General features: G+C 33.5%; 1 protein-coding gene across 13 annotated transcripts in view; it reads left to right on the top strand.

Annotated features, from left to right (window-relative positions):
- Positions 1–20,699, top strand: part of EPHA5 (EPH receptor A5) — a 350,923-nt gene that overhangs the window by 60,475 nt on the left and 269,749 nt on the right. For all 13 annotated transcript variants that reach the window (NM_001437320.1, NM_001437321.1, NM_001437313.1 and 10 more), the window contains exon 3: positions 7,711–8,374. In NM_001437320.1, the coding sequence (NP_001424249.1) occupies positions 7,711–8,374 (664 nt within the window). The remainder of the gene's footprint in view (positions 1–7,710; positions 8,375–20,699) is intronic.

The following is a 20,699-nucleotide window of genomic DNA, read 5'->3' as shown; positions in this document are numbered from 1 at the left end:
GCCTTATTTTAAAATTTGAAGTGTTTATGACATCTTTGATCATTTTATATAATGAGAAACTGTTTAATATCTCTCATTAAAAGTAGAATAGCAATAAATACATAATAAATACATAATCAGTCTATATATATGCTTTTTGGGTTTTTTTTGTTTGCATATTATGTTCATCATGATATTTAACTAAGAAATACTTTTCTTGATTAAATCATAAACTGTTCTAATTGTGTGTATTTTATCTGATATGCTACTTTTGATTTTTCCATCCTTCCATTTATTGCTTCTGCACTTGGATAATTGTTAAAGGAATTAATGAGGAAAGGATCCATACGTTTTTGAAAAAATACAATGACAACATTGAATGAAAAAAAAAAAACTGATTTTTTTCCTCCAGGTTGAAAAAAAAATATCTAGCTTGCCATTCACATTTACTGTTGAAAATAGATGCTCAATTGTCTGTGAATTTTGCTGCAAAAAGATTAATATTAACCTGAAAGTTTTAATCTCTGTGTTTCTCAAGTGATTTCATTTGTATTATGAATTGAATTTGAGCTCATAAATATTTGTACTATTCCACAGGCAATAAAGTAATCAAATTCAGTTTTATTTCATACACAGAAAATTAATAGAGTCATTTCTAGCAATACTGCTGCATCATACTTACGAATTTTAAAGATGTTTTGAACAACTCAAACTCCTACTTGATGCAAGTCTTTTTTTCCCACTAACATAATATTGAGGAAATATAACAAGGTTTTGATTCAAATGATTTTTGCTGAAAGCTGATATATTTTGTCATATTTATTTTCTAAAGAATCATAGCTATTAGAGAATTTGAATTTCTAAAACAGAAACTGTGCTACATGTTTTATTCTTTTAAAACCACATTTTTCTTGTTGTTATATGTAAAAATAGAGATGCTTCTGTTGCCCAATGGATTGCCCATTTTTTTCTTGATCCAAAATAAGGAAAGTGAACAAGGAGGATGGAAGCTATAATTCTACAACAAGGGCACATAATTTTGTCTTTTGAAAACATAAATACCTAGTTCATTAGGTAATGAATCTTTCGTTCATTAAAATGACCTCGAGTGGCCTTATATTTTATGCATAGTAATTTTAACCCCTAAAAAAGAGAAAAAATAATTTATAAGCACAGATTTCTAATTGTAGACATTAATTAGGCCCTAATTAGTATGCCAGTTGTTTGTGGCCTCAGTTTACTCATCTGCAAAAAGATGCAGTTTATTCTGCAGTATAATTATGTCATGCATGCATTGCATAACAGGAAAATTGATCTAAAATTGATCTATATATTTAAACTCTTCTTCCAGGATCACCTTTAAATTAGCACACAATATCTTTCAAAGGATTATAACCCAAGATGAAGTTTGCACTTTTATTTGACTCTTTATTGTTTGAGCATTTGGGAAGCCAGTGTCTGAATTTCAAATTTTAGTGTGTAGTAAAACTGTTCCCAGGCATTTTCTTTTTTCTTTTTTTCTTTTTTTTTTTGAGATGGAGTCTCGCTCTGTCGCCCAAGCTGGGGTGCAGTGGCGCAATCTCGGCTCACTGCAGGCTCCGCCTCATGGGTTCATGCCATTCTCCTGCCTCAGCCTCCCAAGTAGCTGGGACTACAGGTGCCCACCACCACGCCCGGCTAATTTTTTGTGTTTTTAGTAGAGGCAGGGTTTCACCGTGTTAGTCAGGATGGTCTCGATCTCCTGACCTCCGTGATCCACTTACCTCAGCCTCCCAAAGTGCTGGGATTACAGGCGCCAGGCACTTTCTAAAATCATGGGGTGGTACTGCTTTTTTAAAATACTTTAAGCTCTGGGATATATGTGCAGAACGTGCAGGTTTGTTACATAGGTAATACACGTGCCATGGTGATTTGCTGCACCCATCAACCCATCATCTACATTAGGTAGTTTTCCTAATGCTATCCCTCCCCTAGCCGCCCACTCCCTGGCTTCATCCACGTCCCTGAAAAGGACATGAACTCATCGTTTAGTATGGCTGCACAGTGTTTCATGGTGTATATATGTGACCATTTCTTTATCCAGTCTAACATTGATGGGCATTTGGGATGCTTCCATGTCTTTGTTATTGTGATCAGTGCTGCAGTAAACATGCATGTGCATGTGTCTTTATAATAGAATGATTTAGAATCCTTTGGATATATACCCAGTAATGGGATTGCTGGGTCAAATGGTATTTCAGGTTCTAGATCCTTGAGGAATTGCCACAGTGTTTTCCACAATGGTTGAACTAATTTACACTCCCACCAACAGTGTAAAAGTGTTCCTATTTCTCCACACCCTCTCCAGCATCTGTGGTTTCCTGGCTTTTTAATGATCGCCATTGTAACTGGCATGAGATGGTAACTCACTGTGGTTTTGATTTGCGTTTCTCTAATGACAAGTGATGATGAGCTTTTTTTCGCATATTTGTTGGCTGCATAAATGTCTTCTTTTGAGAAGTGTCTGTTCGTATCCTTTGCCCACTTTTTGATGTTTTTTTTTTTGTTTGTTTGTTTGTTTGTTTTTGTATTTTTTGGGGGGTAGATTCTGGATATTAGCCCTTTGTCAGATGGGTAGATTTCAGAAATTTTCTCCCATTCTGTAGGTTGCCTGTTCACTCCGATGATAGTTTCTTTTGCTGTGCATAAGCTCTTTAATTATATCTCATTTGTCAATTTGGGGCTTTTGTTGCCATTGATTTTGGTGTTTTAGTTATGAATTATTTGCCCATGCCTATGTCCTGAATGGTATTGCCTAGGTTTTCTTCTAGGGTTTTTATGGTTTTAGGTATTAGGTTTATATCTTTAAAAAAAACATCAGTGAGTTAGTAATTTGAAATCAGGATATCTTCAGTAAAGTTAGCAAAACTTAGTGTGTGAAACAAAACATACCACACACATTTGCACAATGAAAATCACAATAAATGATATATAAAAATATTTTAAATTTAAAACCTATATTTTATGTAGTTTTGAGGAACTTGAGAAGATATTATATTTAAAATATGTGACTCAAAGTGTGAAGAACAGCTTTCCCTGTATTTAAAGAGGCAGTTAGGTGATAAACAAGGTCTTCCTAGAAAGTTATGATTTGGTCATGTCAGAGTAAAGCTGCAGGCAATTGATTCTTTGCCAGATTTTTATGTAATTCTGCAAAGGAAATCCCTAAGATGGTCGTAATATTATTTGACTGAAATATGAAATATGTCCATAGTTCCTTGAACCGATATGCTATATTCTGGGCTTTTGATTTACACAGAATGGTGAAGAAGACTACTGAGTGACAAAATAAAAACTTATTTTGAAAACATAGGCTCACAAATAAAATAAACTTAGTTATCAGTTACAATTAGTAAAATGTAATGCTAGTGAAAAATCATTCAACAGGTTAATAGGCAAAACTAAACTCATAAAAATTGTATCAACAATGGAAATAAGACAATCTCTTTTAATAAATACTTAGTGTTTTTAATTAAGAATTACCAAACTAATTTTTAATCTGCTTTTATAAACCTTTCTAATTTGCTCTTATAAAATTCTGACGATTTACAGAGAAGAAAATGTATTTTCTTGTTTTAAAGATAGCACAAAACATTTAACTATTTATTCAATATGTTTGAATTATTCCAAATTAGTGGGATCTCTGAATTAAGAAGTTATATGTATATGTTTGATATTAATTCATTCATTATAAAATGTATATCAAGTGCCCTACTCTGTGCCCTGTTGTATCAGACTCTAAGATACAGTTGACGATAAGAAAATCATGCATGCCTGCCTCTCCCTCATATTGGGGTTGAGTATTAAAATATATAGCAAAAGAAAAAAAAGACTTATTGATGGTTACATGACGTCTGGAAAAAATGTTGTGTAGCAATTAATGCAACGAATCAAGGAATCCCATGCACAAATCCACCCTTTGAGGCAGAGACATGCTGACAAGAAGACAAAGGAAGATATGGGCAAAGGAGATGCCCAGGTAGTCAGCTTGGTCTTGTGTGAACTTGAGTAAATCCTTTTTTTTTGGTCTGGTCTTCAATTTCTTATTTCTAAAATGAACAATAGGACTGGCTCTTTTAAGGCTCTTTGTGATGTTCTCTATTGAATATTAGATGCCTAGGATAGAGAGCTTTCATTCTCATTACAGAGTTGCATAGTTGTTATGCCAGAGATTGGATCTCAGCTTATATATCTAGATATTATAAGAGCTGGGACTAAAACTAGAGCTTCGGGCTTGTACTTTTCTTCTATACAAGACCCATACAGTGCCATTTTTTTTTTCAGATGTCTACTCCAAAGTTTCTTACTGTTGCACCTTAGCCTCAATAGATCACTCTCGATATAGAATCAAGATAAATAGAAACATAATAATGAAAACAGAACTAGATAATGGGCACCCCTAATAACTTGAAAGGTTAAAATTGTCTCTGTTCACATGATGCTTCCTACTGTGAATTTGGGGACATAATGTAAGAGGGATTTCTGGTCCAGCCCATGTGTCATGAGTCAGTATTTTCAAGCTCTTCATGAAAAAACGATGTATAGGCTGGGGATCTGGAAAGGAGAGCAATGCCAACAAGGTAGGAAACAGCAGGCGCTTGATACCAGAAGGCCAAGAGAGCAATGAGAGGCAGATGGGGAGAAACTAGTTCCTAACGGCTTGGGTAGAAAAACATTGTAACTGCATGATACACATATGGTTATGAAAGTAAGTTCTTTCTTCCCCCGACCCTTCTCTGATGAATGTGGCTGATGTGAGATGCCTGGCCAGCAATGGGTTTAGAACGCAACTGACCTGGAATTTTCAGAGCCCTGAGGGAAAAGGAGTAACCCTAAGAATCTGGGAGATAAATCAAGCAAACCCAAGCTGCGTAACCAGTTATTTATTCTTAACGGGAAAGAATGGGCAATAAGGAGGAAATAAACGTACAGGAAAGCATGGGCTCAGGGGATGGCATTGAATAATTGCTAGACCTAAAGAGCAGAGCTACAGCCATCATATTGCATTCAGCAATCCATGCTTCCAAAATGTCCAGGCTCACAACTTCTAGTAATCGAAGGATCAGCAAATATTTTTATTAAATCATGAAGTCATGGAAAATCCAACAAAAATGAACAGAAAATATTGATTCCTATCTGTGCCTTTTATTAAGTTACTGTAATATCCTGTACATGACATTTGTAAAAGTGTCTAGGAATACGTCTGCCACATTCTAAAGTTCTTGGTGAGTGTTACTTTCTCTTCATCCTCTTGGTTTTTTTTTTTTTACATACCTGATTTTTGCTGAGGACAGCAAGATATTCTCTTCATGTTAAAGGGGAAAGAAAGCTTAGAAAAATTCAAAGTTTTATTTCAGAGAGCCAGCCTAAAATAAAATCTTTCTGTCAATTTCTTAGTATATGTGTCTCAATGACAGCAGATATTAGAGATGGATATATTACCCATGTGATTCTCTGAATGGCTTATGGCCATAATTATTTAAATTAAACTCATTCTATTTGCTCACTAGAAATATTAAATGTGAGCCATCATTTATGTTTTGGGTACTTGAAAAGAAAAATAAATAAAATCTCACCATGACAGTTTCTGAATTCAAAGAAAATTATAGTTTCCATCTTCTTAACTGAGAATATTCAGAGAAGCAAGATGCTTATGCACATACTTTGAAATTATCACCTGAAGCAGTAACTATTAAGCTATCTTGTCAAGTGCTGCTTGGCTTGCATTTTTAATAGTATTTGTGGTACCCTGGACTTTGTACAGACAAAGGCTGAATTGCTTGGCTTATAATCTTGAAAGATCCTGTTATTCTGCTTGCTTTTACTTGCTAGGAGGATCCTACTAGAATATATTGTCCAGAAATAGGTCATCAATAAGTGATTCAAGGCAAAAAATATACATATTTGTGTTTTATTTTCTTTTTATAGAGAAGAGATTTTTGATATCTTTCATTTGACTAATTCAAAAAATATATATTTAATCTTATTATGGTAAATTGATAATTCTTACCATTTTATTTGGTTAGTTGACATATTCTTTTGCATGAAATATTGATCATAATATTTGGTGCCATTTATAATATAAAGAGATTGATACTTAAATCACATTGGAAAGAAAATGTAAGTAGTTTAATTATGGAGTGCTGCAATAGATATCTGGTTTAGAAAATAGGGAGCTAAGTAGAGTATATATACATTTTGAGAGAGGACAAAAATGAGATTTAGTGAAAGAACTGAGGCTTTAGGTAATAACATATATGGAAATTGTTTGGCAAGATAAAATCTTCATGTCTCTCTCTTGTGAATTTAAGGAGCTCAACAGTTTTACCTCATTAGCACCTTTTGCTTATGTCTGTCTGATGTTGCAGCTAGATTTCGAGAGGAGCCATCTGATGTATAAGATTTATTTGCATCCTTTGTGCCTTGCATTTTTCACATCTTTGCTTTTAGAACAGAATCAAGAAATAATGCTATATTTAATTTCATGTCTAAAGAAATGAGTGTCTATGAAGTTTTTTTTATCTACAATACTTAATGTCTGAAATCACACATTCTGGATTTTTTGAAAGTCAGTATGGTTTCATTGTTCTTTGTGTTCCAGTGGTATTTTAAAGATTTAAAATTATATATCACTTTTGTACACACAGATTTTTTTACAGGCTTCAGAAATTCCTTAAATTATAATTACTTCTTTATGAAAAATAAAAATTTGGCTCTGTACCGTTCAGGAAATGGTTATGGTACATCGAGATTCTCAAAACTGGAGTATTTTATTAGGAAAGAGATAGGTTTAGAACTCTTCTTTGGCCAAATAATATTTTGGAAGCTATATAAATTGTACTTAATTTTTTTTACGTCCTGTATATCTTCAGAACTCTTAAGGCCATATGCATAAAATAATGCCTTGGTAAGAAAGAATTAATGGGGTCCCAACATATCGCAAGAAGTTAGCTAATATTCAAAATGACAAGGCTATCCATATTCTTAATCTGTAATTTTTAATCTTTCTTTCATATCTGTCTCCATGTTTATATATGTAGATAAATCTATGAATTAATATTTAGCTAGCCAATTTGTGAGAGTCCTGAATAGATGGGTTCAGTGAAATAAAGATCTATTATTAATTTTAAACTAAAGGATTTTCTTTCAACTTTTATTCCATTGGTGTGTTATTTGTGACATGACAGATTTAAATAAATGACTGTTTTTATATTACATTTTTCTCCCTTCTTTTTCAAATTTGCGATCCTTTTATCCCTTATTTCATTTTTTTAATTGCATTTCTTGTATTCTACCCTATTTATGTATATGCTGAACTTTATTCAAAATATACATATTTTTCTTTCTTTGCTTCATTTTGTTAACCTCACCCACGTTTAAATTTCTTTTACTTTTACTCTGAAATGCATGGTTCCTTCCTGCCCTGGGGCATATTCATATGTGTTCGTCTTGGAGTTATGTTGGAGATGAAGAATAATAATTTCTTAATTTACTTTTAATTTAAAAATTACAATAAAAATTTGTGATTCTCTTCTCCCAATACTTTATATCTAGTTCCTTCTGTAAATATCACATATTGAGGATACGAATATTTCTATATCTCAGTTAGTTTTCTTTTATAATTTTTGCTATAGTTCCTTGTTATTTTCTATTTTTTGAATTTTTTTTATCTTTCTATTTTATATTGTACAGTGGGAAGAGATTGGTGAAGTGGATGAAAATTATGCCCCTATCCACACATACCAAGTATGCAAAGTGATGGAACAGAATCAGAATAACTGGCTTTTGACCAGTTGGATCTCCAATGAAGGTGCTTCCAGAATCTTCATAGAACTCAAATTTACCCTGCGGGACTGCAACAGCCTTCCTGGAGGACTGGGGACCTGTAAGGAAACCTTTAATATGTATTACTTTGAGTCAGATGATCAGAATGGGAGAAACATCAAGGAAAACCAATACATCAAAATTGATACCATTGCTGCCGATGAAAGCTTTACAGAACTTGATCTTGGTGACCGTGTTATGAAACTGAATACAGAGGTCAGAGATGTAGGACCTCTAAGCAAAAAGGGATTTTATCTTGCTTTTCAAGATGTTGGTGCTTGCATTGCTCTGGTTTCTGTGCGTGTATACTATAAAAAATGCCCTTCTGTGGTACGACACTTGGCTGTCTTCCCTGACACCATCACTGGAGCTGATTCTTCCCAATTGCTCGAAGTGTCAGGCTCCTGTGTCAACCATTCTGTGACCGATGAACCTCCCAAAATGCACTGCAGCGCCGAAGGGGAGTGGCTGGTGCCCATCGGGAAATGCATGTGCAAGGCAGGATATGAAGAGAAAAATGGCACCTGTCAAGGTAAGAGTTTGCCTCCAGATCTGCAGGGGCTGTCTGCTTCAGTTGGATCATGTATATGTATTTCCTCCAATGATTATGAGGAAATGACCTTTTACTTTGCTAATTTATGGAGATTATTTCTCTCAAGTTTTATTTTTCTCTTTTCAGAATTTTAAAATTTCTGGCAACCGTGAAAGATTTAATGTAATATTTTATTGGATATACATAATTAATACTCAGAGAGTGTCTGACTTGCAGTGTAATATTTCATATTCACTTTGCTTTTAGAAATTTTATTTTTGAAAAACTCAAACCAAGGGACTAGTAACCTTCATTGTATAATTATTGTCTGCTACATCTATTTTCTCTCCATGAACTTATTTTCTACTCTTTATTTGCTGTATAAAATTTAAATGCAAAATCTTAGATTAGACTAGTTTTGGCATGTTTTTAACTGCCTTTTAAAAATTCTTCAGAAAAAAAGTTCAGCCATATGAACTTTATAGCAAAACATTTGTAAACTGACAGGATTAGTTTACTGTGTTGTTTACTTATGGTTGTAATTACATGCTTGCTTTTTAAAAATTACAGATATTTTTAAATGCATAATAAGCAGTGCCCCACAAAAATAACTATTTGAAGATAGAACCAATACAAAAGGTCATTTTAAAGCAATTTGCCCTGGGGGATTTTTTTTTCTGTTTTTATTTTTCTTTTAAATTGAAACTTGATCATGCATGCTTCTCTCTTCCTTTGAAAATGCCCTCATTTTGCCCGCAGTGTGGTGAGTTGGCCGTTTAAACTGGAAATTTGTCAATGGCTTTCTGGAACAGGGGAGTATTTTATATCAAAACGAAGAGCAGTTTATGGGAAAGAAAGCAGCATGTTTTTATTTAAATTATTCACCCTCATGATCCTGAACTTGTTTTCATCATGATGTGAGTGTACTAACTAGGTAATGAAAGTTAATGAATATTAACTTAGGGAACTTTGAATGCTGAGCAGCCCCTTAGTCCCACCTGGTAGCTTCAGGTGCATTTATTTTTCCTAAGTCCACTCTGTTACATGAATCAGACTTCCTCATTTGTTCTTGCTTGACTGTAGATTGATTATCGATCCAGGGAAACAAAACTAGGGAAATTACCTGTAAATTATAATAACTTGGTTAATTAATTCTCTCCAGAAACACATTGCACTTTACTTGAAATTCCTTTTTCAGCACCAGTTTCTATTTTGTATCTTTGAAATACCATCTACTATTAATTCTGTTGTTTTTCCATGCAAGCTACAACTTTCTACATCTGATTTTATATCTACACAAGTACATCTGAAAGTTTTGTTCCATCAAAATTACGTTTATAAAATGCTTAAAAGCTTATTGGGGAAAAGAATCATAATTTCTTCAGGACTGGAATTAAAGAAATGTTCTAATATTATCTTTTACTTTTGAGCAATCTTATTGGTTTAAGGTGAGGTTTTATGTAATTAAAGGATCAAAAGCAGGAGTTATAAGCAATCCATTGAATATATTTCTGTCTAAAATATTGTAAATATAAATCTTATTAATTATTTCTAAAAATTTGTTTATTAGTATTATAAAACAACGTACTCTATTTGGTTGTTTGTTTCTATCATTTTAGAGAATATGTGAGCACTTAATTCAGACCACCATGACCTTTGTCATTATTTTGATTGACAGATAGTATAAGAGGCCTCTCTCCATGTTTCGAGGATGCATTTTGATTGTCGATGAGATTAAAACATTCTGCTGGTGATAGTCACAAAAATCCTGGGAGGCAGCGTTCTGACAGAATGCAATGCAGTCTTAGTGCAAGTGTTAGCATACATCTTTTCTTTCTCTTCTCATGTTATTCTCTTAATAATTGAAAAGTAGAACCTTAATTGATGGACATTGGATTAACTGGAGACATTTCATTGTAGAAAACTTTACTTAACTGGACTCTGTCTTAATTCATGCATTTATCTTCCTCCCTTGGTAGTAGGAGCAGTGGTTTGCAGAGGTAATGCAAAAAGTTTACTACAGCCCAGAGAATGTTTCACACATGTAGTCGGTATGATTAACGCTTGCTGGTATTTTACTATGTACAAATGGTATGTGATGGCACTCTAGGAAGAGTTTCAAGTATTTATTCTACACACAACTTATGTAATAGAATGACTCATTGAATGAATAAATACATCTTGAGGGCTTGCTTTGGAGAACTAAAGCATCATAGATATTGTTGAGAGATTTCTATCTGTACACAATAAGTACATGTAAATGAGTGTGTGTGTGTGTGTGTGTGTGTGTGTTATAAAATGCCACCATGACTCTAGCTCATTTTACATCTTAACCTGCTAGCCTCAAACCTCTAAGTGGAGATCTTGATGATTTGGAATCATCCTTCTAAATAAGCCAGAAATTTAGGAATCATTTCTCTCATCTCTTTCCTACTCACTATCCAGTTCCAATCCATCACAGTGTTTATAGAAATTACCAGTCAACTTTCTCTTTAAATCATCTACTTCTATTTCCTTCTTCCTTCAATATAGAGGTAAACCTTGTTGAAACTTTGTTTTCAAATTTAATGAATGACTTTATATATAGTTTTGGTTTTTTAACTATATGAATATATCACCTATAACAAATGCAAATATTTGTTTCACACATCCATCCTACCCCTGAAACCTCCCCCCTTCACACACACACTTTATACACTTCAGTGGTTTCCTTTAAGACAAAGTTTTATCATTAAGAGGCTGCATGGTTTTGCTCCAGTTATCTTTCATGTCTCATCTTAAATTTTGCTTTCTCCCCTTCCCTATGCACTAGCCAAGCTAACTTTTTTCAGTTTCTCAATTTGCTCTTTTTCACTACTTGTTGTTTTAAGAATATGTTCTCTTGCATGGATTATTCTTGTATCTAACATACACTAATCCTTCAGATCTGTGCTCCAATATCCCTTCTACAGAGAAGATGCCCCAATCAATCAAGGCTAAATCAAGCGTCACTGTTTACTCATATATCTTTTGTCACAAAACAATTTAGAACTATTATTTTACCTATATTTGCATACTTGTTATCTGTTTAATTATTTTTTCTACTCCTGTTAGTCCACATACACCTTGATGGCAGGAGTAGCGGGAGACCATGTACTCCTTAACTTAAGGGATGAGAAAGAAGTCAAAAAGCACAAGAGAAGGACAATGAATTCAAAAGAGAGGAAAGAAAATCTGCAAAGGTGTAAAAGAATACTATGTTATTCTATGTTAAATATCACATTGTGTTGATTTATTTTACCTTTGTATTATCTCTAAAATATCTCCTTGGTCTGAAAATTGATGGATATGTCTTTTAACTTAATCATTTCTTAGTTCTAAGACTCTCAGCCCAAATTTCATATTCAAGGTATTAAGTCATATGTGATTGGTACTTCACATACTATTAGAGAAGCCAATTTAGTGAATTTTACAGAGCACAGAACATCACATACTTAAATATAATATGGCCATATTACATGATGACATTTAATTATTCAGTTTCTTGATAACCAAACTATATTAGAATTTAATTAAAATATATTATTGAGAAGCTAAAGTTTGAATATATCTGTGGCAATGATTTTCATATGTTAATATTTCTTAGTCTGTGCTGGCAGGTGACTGAGTACTTGCTGTCATATCATGCTTATGTGACTTGTTATATGTGCTTTGCATGATGGAGTTGACACATGGCCTTTTACAAACTAAACCTTCAAGATTCAGAATGCTAGGCAGCTCATTAACATATGGCCTCAATCCAGGTGACCAAGCAGTGAGTCTGGAGTCCTGGTCAATTTAGCAATTTGTGATCTGTCATCTTAATATAACTTCCTCTCATTTAACTTTCTTTAAGAGAAATAGACTACCTCACCCATAGTAATCTGGTTTTGACGAGGTAACAAAATACTCATTTCTATTGTATGAACTTAAAATATAGTGTACATTTATTTTTGTAAGTCTTACTTATATGCCTAAATTTTCTATAATAAACTGATTTAAGTCTACAGATTTCTTTCTTGGAAGTCTTTTTATTTTCAGAAATAAATAATGTCTCAAATCCATTTATCCAAGTATGTTTCCCCACTTGTTATTTATTATTATTTCTGATGAAATTCATGCTATTTTTTTCCCCTTAAGACTCATGTGAGACTTTTTTTTTTTAGTAAAAAATGGTTAGCAAAAACACATTTTAGAAGTTTCTGTCTTTTATTGAAGTGAATGTTTTTGACAGAAGTAATTGAGTTCACATGAATCAAATGTTGCCTGCTGAGTTCTCTTGTGATTATGTTGCTGACTTACTTAGATGCAAGGCAAGACCACTAATCTTCATCAGTTGCTAGTGGAATGAAGTAGTAATTTGAAATTAGCCCTAGATAATTATAGTTTCACTTATATCAAATGGAGGAAAGAGATTTAGATTGTGGGTCACTGCCAAAACCAGTCAGAGTGAAGAAGGTATATAGTACATGCTAAAATACGGGATAAGGAGGGTTACACGTCAAGGGCTGTGGAGAAAAAGTACTTATTAATTGTCCAACTGGGAGATGATTGCACAGCGAGGAAAATGTAGTGAAAATACCCAATTCAAGAAAGAGCCTTGATTCAGAAACAGTACAGTTACAGCAGGGAGTAGAATGTCGATCATTCGTACTTCTGGTGCATATTTATGATTGAAGCAAAATTGGCTGGAAATATATTAGGTATATTAGGTGTCCATGCAATTATGGATTAGAGAGCCTAGTTATTTTTAATTAGGGACATTACCAAAAAACATCAAAGGGGTTGAACTTATCGTTCTATTTAGTATGTTATTATATGTAACAAAAGGAACCTATTTTAATTTCAAAATTTGAACAAATGATGGCAATTATGGAAGTACAGAATATCAATGGTGCCTGTGTGTGTTGTGTTGGTGTGTGTGTGTGTGTGTGTGTGTGTTCTGCTTTTGTGAGGCACAACCAAGGCAATTAAGTAGTCAAATCATTTCATCCATTTACAAACATTACACAAGAGAATAATTCAAATAGTCTTTTTCCCCCCATTTTAACTGCTCCCTGGCCTACTTTTAGATTAGTTCTAATAAAATTTTTGAGAGTACTCTGCGTTTGTTTTTTTGTTTTTTGTTTGTTTGTTTTTTTGGTTTGTTTGTTTGTTTTTTCTAAATCAAGGTTTTTCAGCACTGGAGTTTTGATATTTTGGGCCAGATAATTATTGTTGGTGGGAAGGGGGATGTTGTCTTGTTCACTGTAGACTGTTTAGCAGCTTTCTTGGGTTCTACCCTCTAGACGCAGTAGGACACCCCACTCCCCATTTTCACAGTCAAAAATGTGTCTAGATATTGCCTAATATTCACTGGGGGAAAATCACTCCCAGTTGAGAACCACTAATCCAAATACTTGTCCCCTCCCCAAATGAACACACATGCCGCTAACACAAAATATGTTTATAGATATGTTTATGGACTGGATACCTTTGCAAAAGTGAACATTTTTCTTTAAATTTGGAAGAATGAAGGAGATGTACATGTTTAAATGTGACCAATTGAATTTGAATATGGTGGGAAATACGCTGCTTGTAAGAGGCAGCATGCCCTAGTAGTTTAACCACATGAATTCTGAGTAAAAATTAATATAGTCTTATTCTACCTCTGCCATTTACCAAGGCTGTATCCCCATGCAAGTTGCTGAATCTCTCTGTTCTTTGCTGTTCTCATCTCTAACTAGCTCATAAAAATCTTGTGAGATATTGGCAGTGGCTCATGCCTGTAATCCCAGCACTTTGGGAGGCCAAGGCAGGTGGATCACGAGGTCAGGAGATCGAGACCATCCTGGCTAACATGGTGAAACCTCGTCTCTAGTAAATATACAAAAAATTAGCCCGGCGTGGTGGCGGGAGCCTGTAATCCCAGCTACTCGGGAGGTTGAGGCAGGAGAATGGCGTGAACCCGGGAGGTGGAGCTTGCAGTGAGTGGAGATCGCGCCACTGCACTCCAGCCTGGGTGACAGAGTTAGGCTCCGTCTCAAAAAAAAAAAAAAAAATCTTGTGAGATATTATATAAAAATTATAAAATAAAGGGTAGCTACAGGTTATAAAATTATCTAGTTTTCTCTAAGTAGGTAGTATATTCCTGAGCAATTTAATTTATCAAAGAATAATACTACATTTTTTCCAATGGGTAAATAAAACTATGTACGTTTTATAGAACTTCCTTTATAAAAATTTTGTTAGAAGTACAAAACTGAAAAATTTGCTATCTCGTTAGACATTATCACTTATTCTATAAGTTGTTATTGTAGTAGGCACTCTATCCAGCCTATAGAATTCCTGTATCCTAGGAATGTGGACATATATACATACAAACATGCATATAGACTCACATCTACAGTTAAAAGTTATGAAATTTTCTAATGGCAGTGTGGGTGAAGTGTGGTATTTTAGATAGGGAAATAAGATTTTTTTTTTTTTTTTTCTGAAATGGTGGCATTTAACATAGAAGTTAGGGGAAAAAAAACTGTGAAAAGTATGGGAAACAGTACAGCAAACAGAGGGAGCTTCCAGTGCAGAAATCTATTTTAATACATTAATTTTATGTATGTCTCATTTCTTTCTAAAATTACACTTTAAAAATGTATTTGCTTATAAAAATCTGAGAAATAAAAGACCTGATGATTCCTGAACTTACCAGCTAAAATATGCTCTTCTTATACATTTATTATTATCTTAAAGACAGAAAACTCCTAATAAATATCTAGGGTCAAATGCATGCATATCAAACATGAAACAATTCAGTTTATTTATAAGTGGTGTTGGTGGATGATTATTTGTAAATTATTACACCCGTTGAAAGTATAAAACCCATTTTTTTCTTAAAGAACTTGTTTCATTGGTTTGACAATGGTTAATAACTAGTGACTCTTCTGCTATATGTTGATGGACAAATACGGGGACTTGGCAATGAAAGAAAAGACAGAAGAACCAAAAACCTCGTGATTTCTTTCTGGTCAAACTTTTAAATCTGGTCTGCACTCCTACTTTCTCACTCATAAAAGAAATTATGCTAGTGAAAGTCTTGAGGTTGTATATATTTTTAGTTTAGAATAAATGTAACAGGCAAATGCTATACCTCATCTTTACAGTAACAGTAATAACTACTTTGTAAATTTCACTTTGGGCAGGTCTCTAGGATGTTTTATATGATGATGACATGTTCCATATTGTTACCGTGAAAATGAATCTTAACATTAATGGACTTGAGTTTCATCATGGTTATATGGATGGAGAATTAATGATTATATTTTATGTTGAAATGTCTCATATTTGTGTAAACACCTCTTAATAATAAACATTTATTAAAATAAGATGCACTGGATAAGCTCCTTTTATTATAATACATTTTTATAACATGATAATTATCAGGAGAAGATTTTAATTATAAAGACCTCACAAAAAGCTTTATATATTTAAAATTCACAACATTTAAATGTTCCAGGAAACCAAAAAATAGTCCTTTTGTTTTATTGTTTGCTTATTTTCTTGTTATTCAGATACCAGCAAAAGAACTTACATAAAGTCTGATAACATAAAACAGAACAGCTCTCATGGGAAAAGTGTGTACAGAGAAATTCGATCGTGAAAACTCAGAGTGCGATTTAGCAAATATTTCAGTATCAGTTTTCAGATTCTTCAGAAATAATAGTTCAAAATATGAATGCGAATTATAAGAAACAAAGTAACCAACACTTGCATAAAATCATTCAATAGACTTCAAACATTAAAATTGATCTCTGAAAGCATCAGGAGGTATTTGTGTGCGTAGCAGATTAACGGCATTGGGCTTAAAAGTGATGCCGGCCTCAGCTCAAATCTCACTCTATCATTTGGTAAATACGTAACTGTGGTCAAGTTACAAAACCAGATTGAGCCCTGCTTTCTTCCTCTGTGAAATATTAAATGTTATAATCTTCACCTGTAAAGTGTTCATGTAGCTGCAAGTAATGTTTGCCTACTTAGAAATGATACATGGACCGGCAGCATTGGCATCACCTGGGAATTTTTTAGAAAGGAAGAATCTCAGCCTTACCCCAGAATGTTAAATCTGGATCTACATTTTAGCACATTCCTTGGTGATTTTTATGTACATCAAGTTTAAGAAGCACTGAAAGAAAGCACTCTTGCAGTGAGTGTGTTTTTCTTTTTTATTTCACAGATTGGGATACTTAGGTACAGATAAATTAGGACCGTGTTAGTATATAAGGTCAAGAACAGTAATTTATTTATCTTAATCCCTTGTATGTATGTAAAAATAGTACAGTATCAATGTTTTTAGAGCCATTGTGCATTAGTTAAATATTTCTCCCCCTCAAAATGTTCCTTAATATACTTTTATCATACATATGGTAATTATTTAATTTTTGACAGTATTAGAACTAATAATACTTCTTTCTGATAATTGCATTATGACTTAAGAGTTACATATTTACTATCATTTCTCTATCCCATTATCATAAATAGACAATATTTAGCAAATTAGAGGAAAAGTCAAACAACAGACAAGTAGAGAAAAAAGTAGAGGTGCATCCATGTTCTAATGAGTTCAATGTATAAATTAGCTGTTTGTTTATTTTGCCCCCTTTTGGGATGCTTGTCTTTTTCTTATTGACCTAGAGGAGTTTCTCACATGATTTAGCATTTCCTCTTACTGATGTGTATTATTGGGACCAAATTTTGTCTAATTCTTCTGTGCTCAACATTTACGGTGCAACACAATCATTTTAAGCAGCGTTGTTGTCGGCCATAACCAAGGAGAAATTCTGACATCATGGTATGGTGCTAGTCAGAGGTTCAGTATTTTTTAAAATGTTTCTTAGTTGATTGTTATATGCAACCAGGATTGAGACGTGTTGTAACATTTGAAATTCATGTGTGTTTTGCTTTTGGTGGCTAATATGAATTTGCATCCCGAAACCTCACCCAGAGAAGGCCACTGATTTTGATTCTTGAAGGTTGTGCTTTCTTCTTCCCATTAGGAGGTTATCAGGTAACAGCCACTTTGTGCTTTCCTTGTGTAAATTTTTTTCTTTTCTTTTCTTTTTCTTTTTTCTTTTTGTTTTTTTTTAACTCGGAGTCCTCTTGAGGATGTAGCCAGCTTTTTAAAGTTTCAGGTTCTCTGAAGGTCTCCCCACTTGGTACCAGGCTATGGCCTTTTCTCTTGGATTCTGGGGCATTAAAATTCAAGTTGCCTTGTTTCCCAGAGCCTGCCTCATCCCACTGAGCTTGCAGGGCCGCCAAGGATATGCTCTGGCACTCACCACTCCAGGCTTTGGCTTTCCCTTTGTTTCTGCCCTGTGTGGATTGACATTGCCAGACATTTTTAATTTATTAGTTTTAATGGAATTTGTGTTAAAACAAAACATAACAGGAACGTCAAGCTGTTATACTTAGTTCAGGATTTTTTTTACGTGCTTATACCTGAAGCATTTTCAGGTTTTCTTAGACCTTCACATGGTTGGTACTGAAAGCCTTCTGAAAACTCACGAATTCTAAATTTTATAGCTCCCCAGGTATACCATGCCAAATACAAAATGTTTAATTTTAAAAAAAATTACTGTGGACTGATAGGAAGATAAAATTTGTGAAATTACTTGAACCTTCCCAATACTAAATTCAGTTTTTTATTAGGTAAGAAATGAAGAATTTTTATGTTTTTAAAAGATACGTTTCATTTAAGTTTTACTCAAAACTCATGTTATTTTACTAAATAGTTAGTATCTAAAAAAGTATTAGTTAAGCTGTCTGAAAAATTTGGCAAGTAAAGTAACTTTCATCTATTAATAAGCATTGTCATTTTAACATTGTAATGAACAGAAGAAAAGCTGTGATTTTTCTTTTCCATCTTCTGTAAGTAACGTTAGAATTAAAATAATTTACATGACTTAGGGAAAAAAAGTCCCTGTACTTCCTTACAGTTTTTCATCTTTTCTGATCACAATCTCTGAAGCTTTTTTTTTAAAAAAAATAAAATTAAAATTAATGTAGGCAAAGTCATCTCGGCTTTGAGAAAGGAGTATGAAATAAATATATGAGTGAAACTTGGGAACACAAAACTAATTCTGAGAAATGAGTATGAAATAAAGATATGAGGGAAACTTGGGAACAGAAAACTATTTTTTAAATAGTTTTAGCATAAATACTCCTAAATGATATGATAAAGTTAAATTTTATTTCATCAGTCAACTCAGTAATTATAATTAAATCATGTCATCTGTATAAAGAAAAAAAGGCATGAATTTAGAGGTGTTATGTTAATACTAGTTATTACAATAAGATTAATCATATTTCTTCATAGTACTAAAAATGAAGATATAATACAGATGTAAATATTGGTCTATTTCATAATCTCTTCATTGCAAAACATAAGTGAAATGCAATGATCCTTCCATGTGGAAAACGGAAAACTTTTATTTTAGACAGGATAATAATATATTTACTTTTTTAGCACATCTTGTTTCATCACCTTAATAAAAATTTAACATGAGTTGAAAATTTCATGAAGGTCAGTAAGCTAATAAGGAAAATGAGATCTGGAGTAGGGGGTTGGGGAAGGGATTAACCTGCCTGATATCACACAACCACCATATTTTAATTTTAGCCTTAGAATCGTATTTTACTTCAGACTCTTTGTTTTACTTTTTGACCTTGTACAGTGTAAAAACACACTTAATTACTATGATCTATCTGTACTTTTAATTGTATACTGCATTAATGATAAACCTGAATAAAAAGTACTGTTACATCCTAGGTCCTTATTAGGAATAATATGCTAAATGTTTTGTGCTTCATCTGTATAGACTTATTTAGTGTACCCCATGGATGGGTTAACCTTGAGGAATCTACTTACCCACTTTCAAGGGTTGCATAGAAAACTATCTGACTAATAGCAAGTGTAGCTTAATTTGTCTCTCTCTCTTTCTCTCCAATTTATGCTACTCATAGAAAAGTATGCCTTTTACGGAAATTGTACAATTATTGCCTTTAAATTTAACTCATACTTTAGTCTAGAAAGACATGCCAATTATTATAAAGCAGGAAGGCATGGAATTACTAACCCTGGCATAGTTCTTTCTAGGAAGTGTATAATTCGCAATAACAATAAAAAAGTGAATTCTAAGCTATACATGATCTCATAACTGGTTTTCATTACATGAAAATGCTTTTATATCCTTTATTATTTCTTGTCATGCGTGTGGATCACATCTTATCTTTAAGTATTTGATTCTCTTTGGTGCTTAAATGCTTTGTCTGCATTTACGGCTGACCAGCAGTGTTTCATCTGTAAGAACCAAAGTGATTTGTTGATATGCTTTCATCTTTTCTGAGCTTGAAGATATCCTGCTCATTTGAGCACTGTAAAGGTGTAGTTTATAAAAGAAAAGGTAAGGAAAGAAAGAAGAACCACAGTTTGGAGGAAGTAACAATTAGAGCAAATGATAATTTGACTGACGGATAACTCCATTTATTTGATGGAATTGTTAGCAGGAATCAGACATGGAGAATGAATGCTGGAAAGTTCCTGCTGTGTGATTGTAAAGGAGAATCACAATACACTACTCCATATGCATAAGAGCTTTTCCTCTGATGAATTCAAAGTATTTTGAAAGGATTCCATTAGGACATATCTAAAATAAAATAAAAAATGAGACTATCAAAGTTTTATTTTCCATTTTGTGGGTGGAAAAGTCATGTGATGTGATTTCACCAGCGTTTTCCATGTTTCCCTTAGCCTTCATTTTCCCACACTACTTTTATGCCTCACAATCTGAAAGCAACATAATTACTTGGTCCTGTGGATGATTTTTTAATATTCACCTGTTCCCAATATTTTCCAATGCTAAAAGCTTCTTTTTTTAGAACCAGACTGACCTGTATTATTTATTTATTTTAAATTCTCTTTAGAAGGTTCTGTGTGTCATCTGTGTTTGCTCTCTTGGTTCAAGCATGATTTAATATGTCAACACCGGTTTGCTTAACTGCATTTGATTGTCTTCCATACTTCACTTAGAGCTAGGCAAGTTGCCTTTCAAGAATGTTGCTGCCCAGATAAATGAAATGTCACAACAGTGAAGACTCCTTGTTTTCTGACAGCAGTGGCTTTCTTTGGCACAGCCAGTGGTTACAGAGGGAGGTGGGGAGGGAACTTTAACAGTAATAATAGAGCCCATTTAAGTCAGGTTGTGCTCCTCAAGGCCCACACAGACTAACAGCAATAGAATAATGTACTTACATTTGAGGAGGGCTTCAGTCTTTA

Source organism: Homo sapiens, chromosome 4, assembly GCF_000001405.40.
Source record: "Homo sapiens chromosome 4, GRCh38.p14 Primary Assembly".
Classification (NCBI taxonomy): domain Eukaryota; kingdom Metazoa; phylum Chordata; class Mammalia; order Primates; family Hominidae; genus Homo; species Homo sapiens.
Note: the sequence above shows the minus strand (reverse complement) of the source record. Positions and strands in the feature narration are given on the sequence as shown.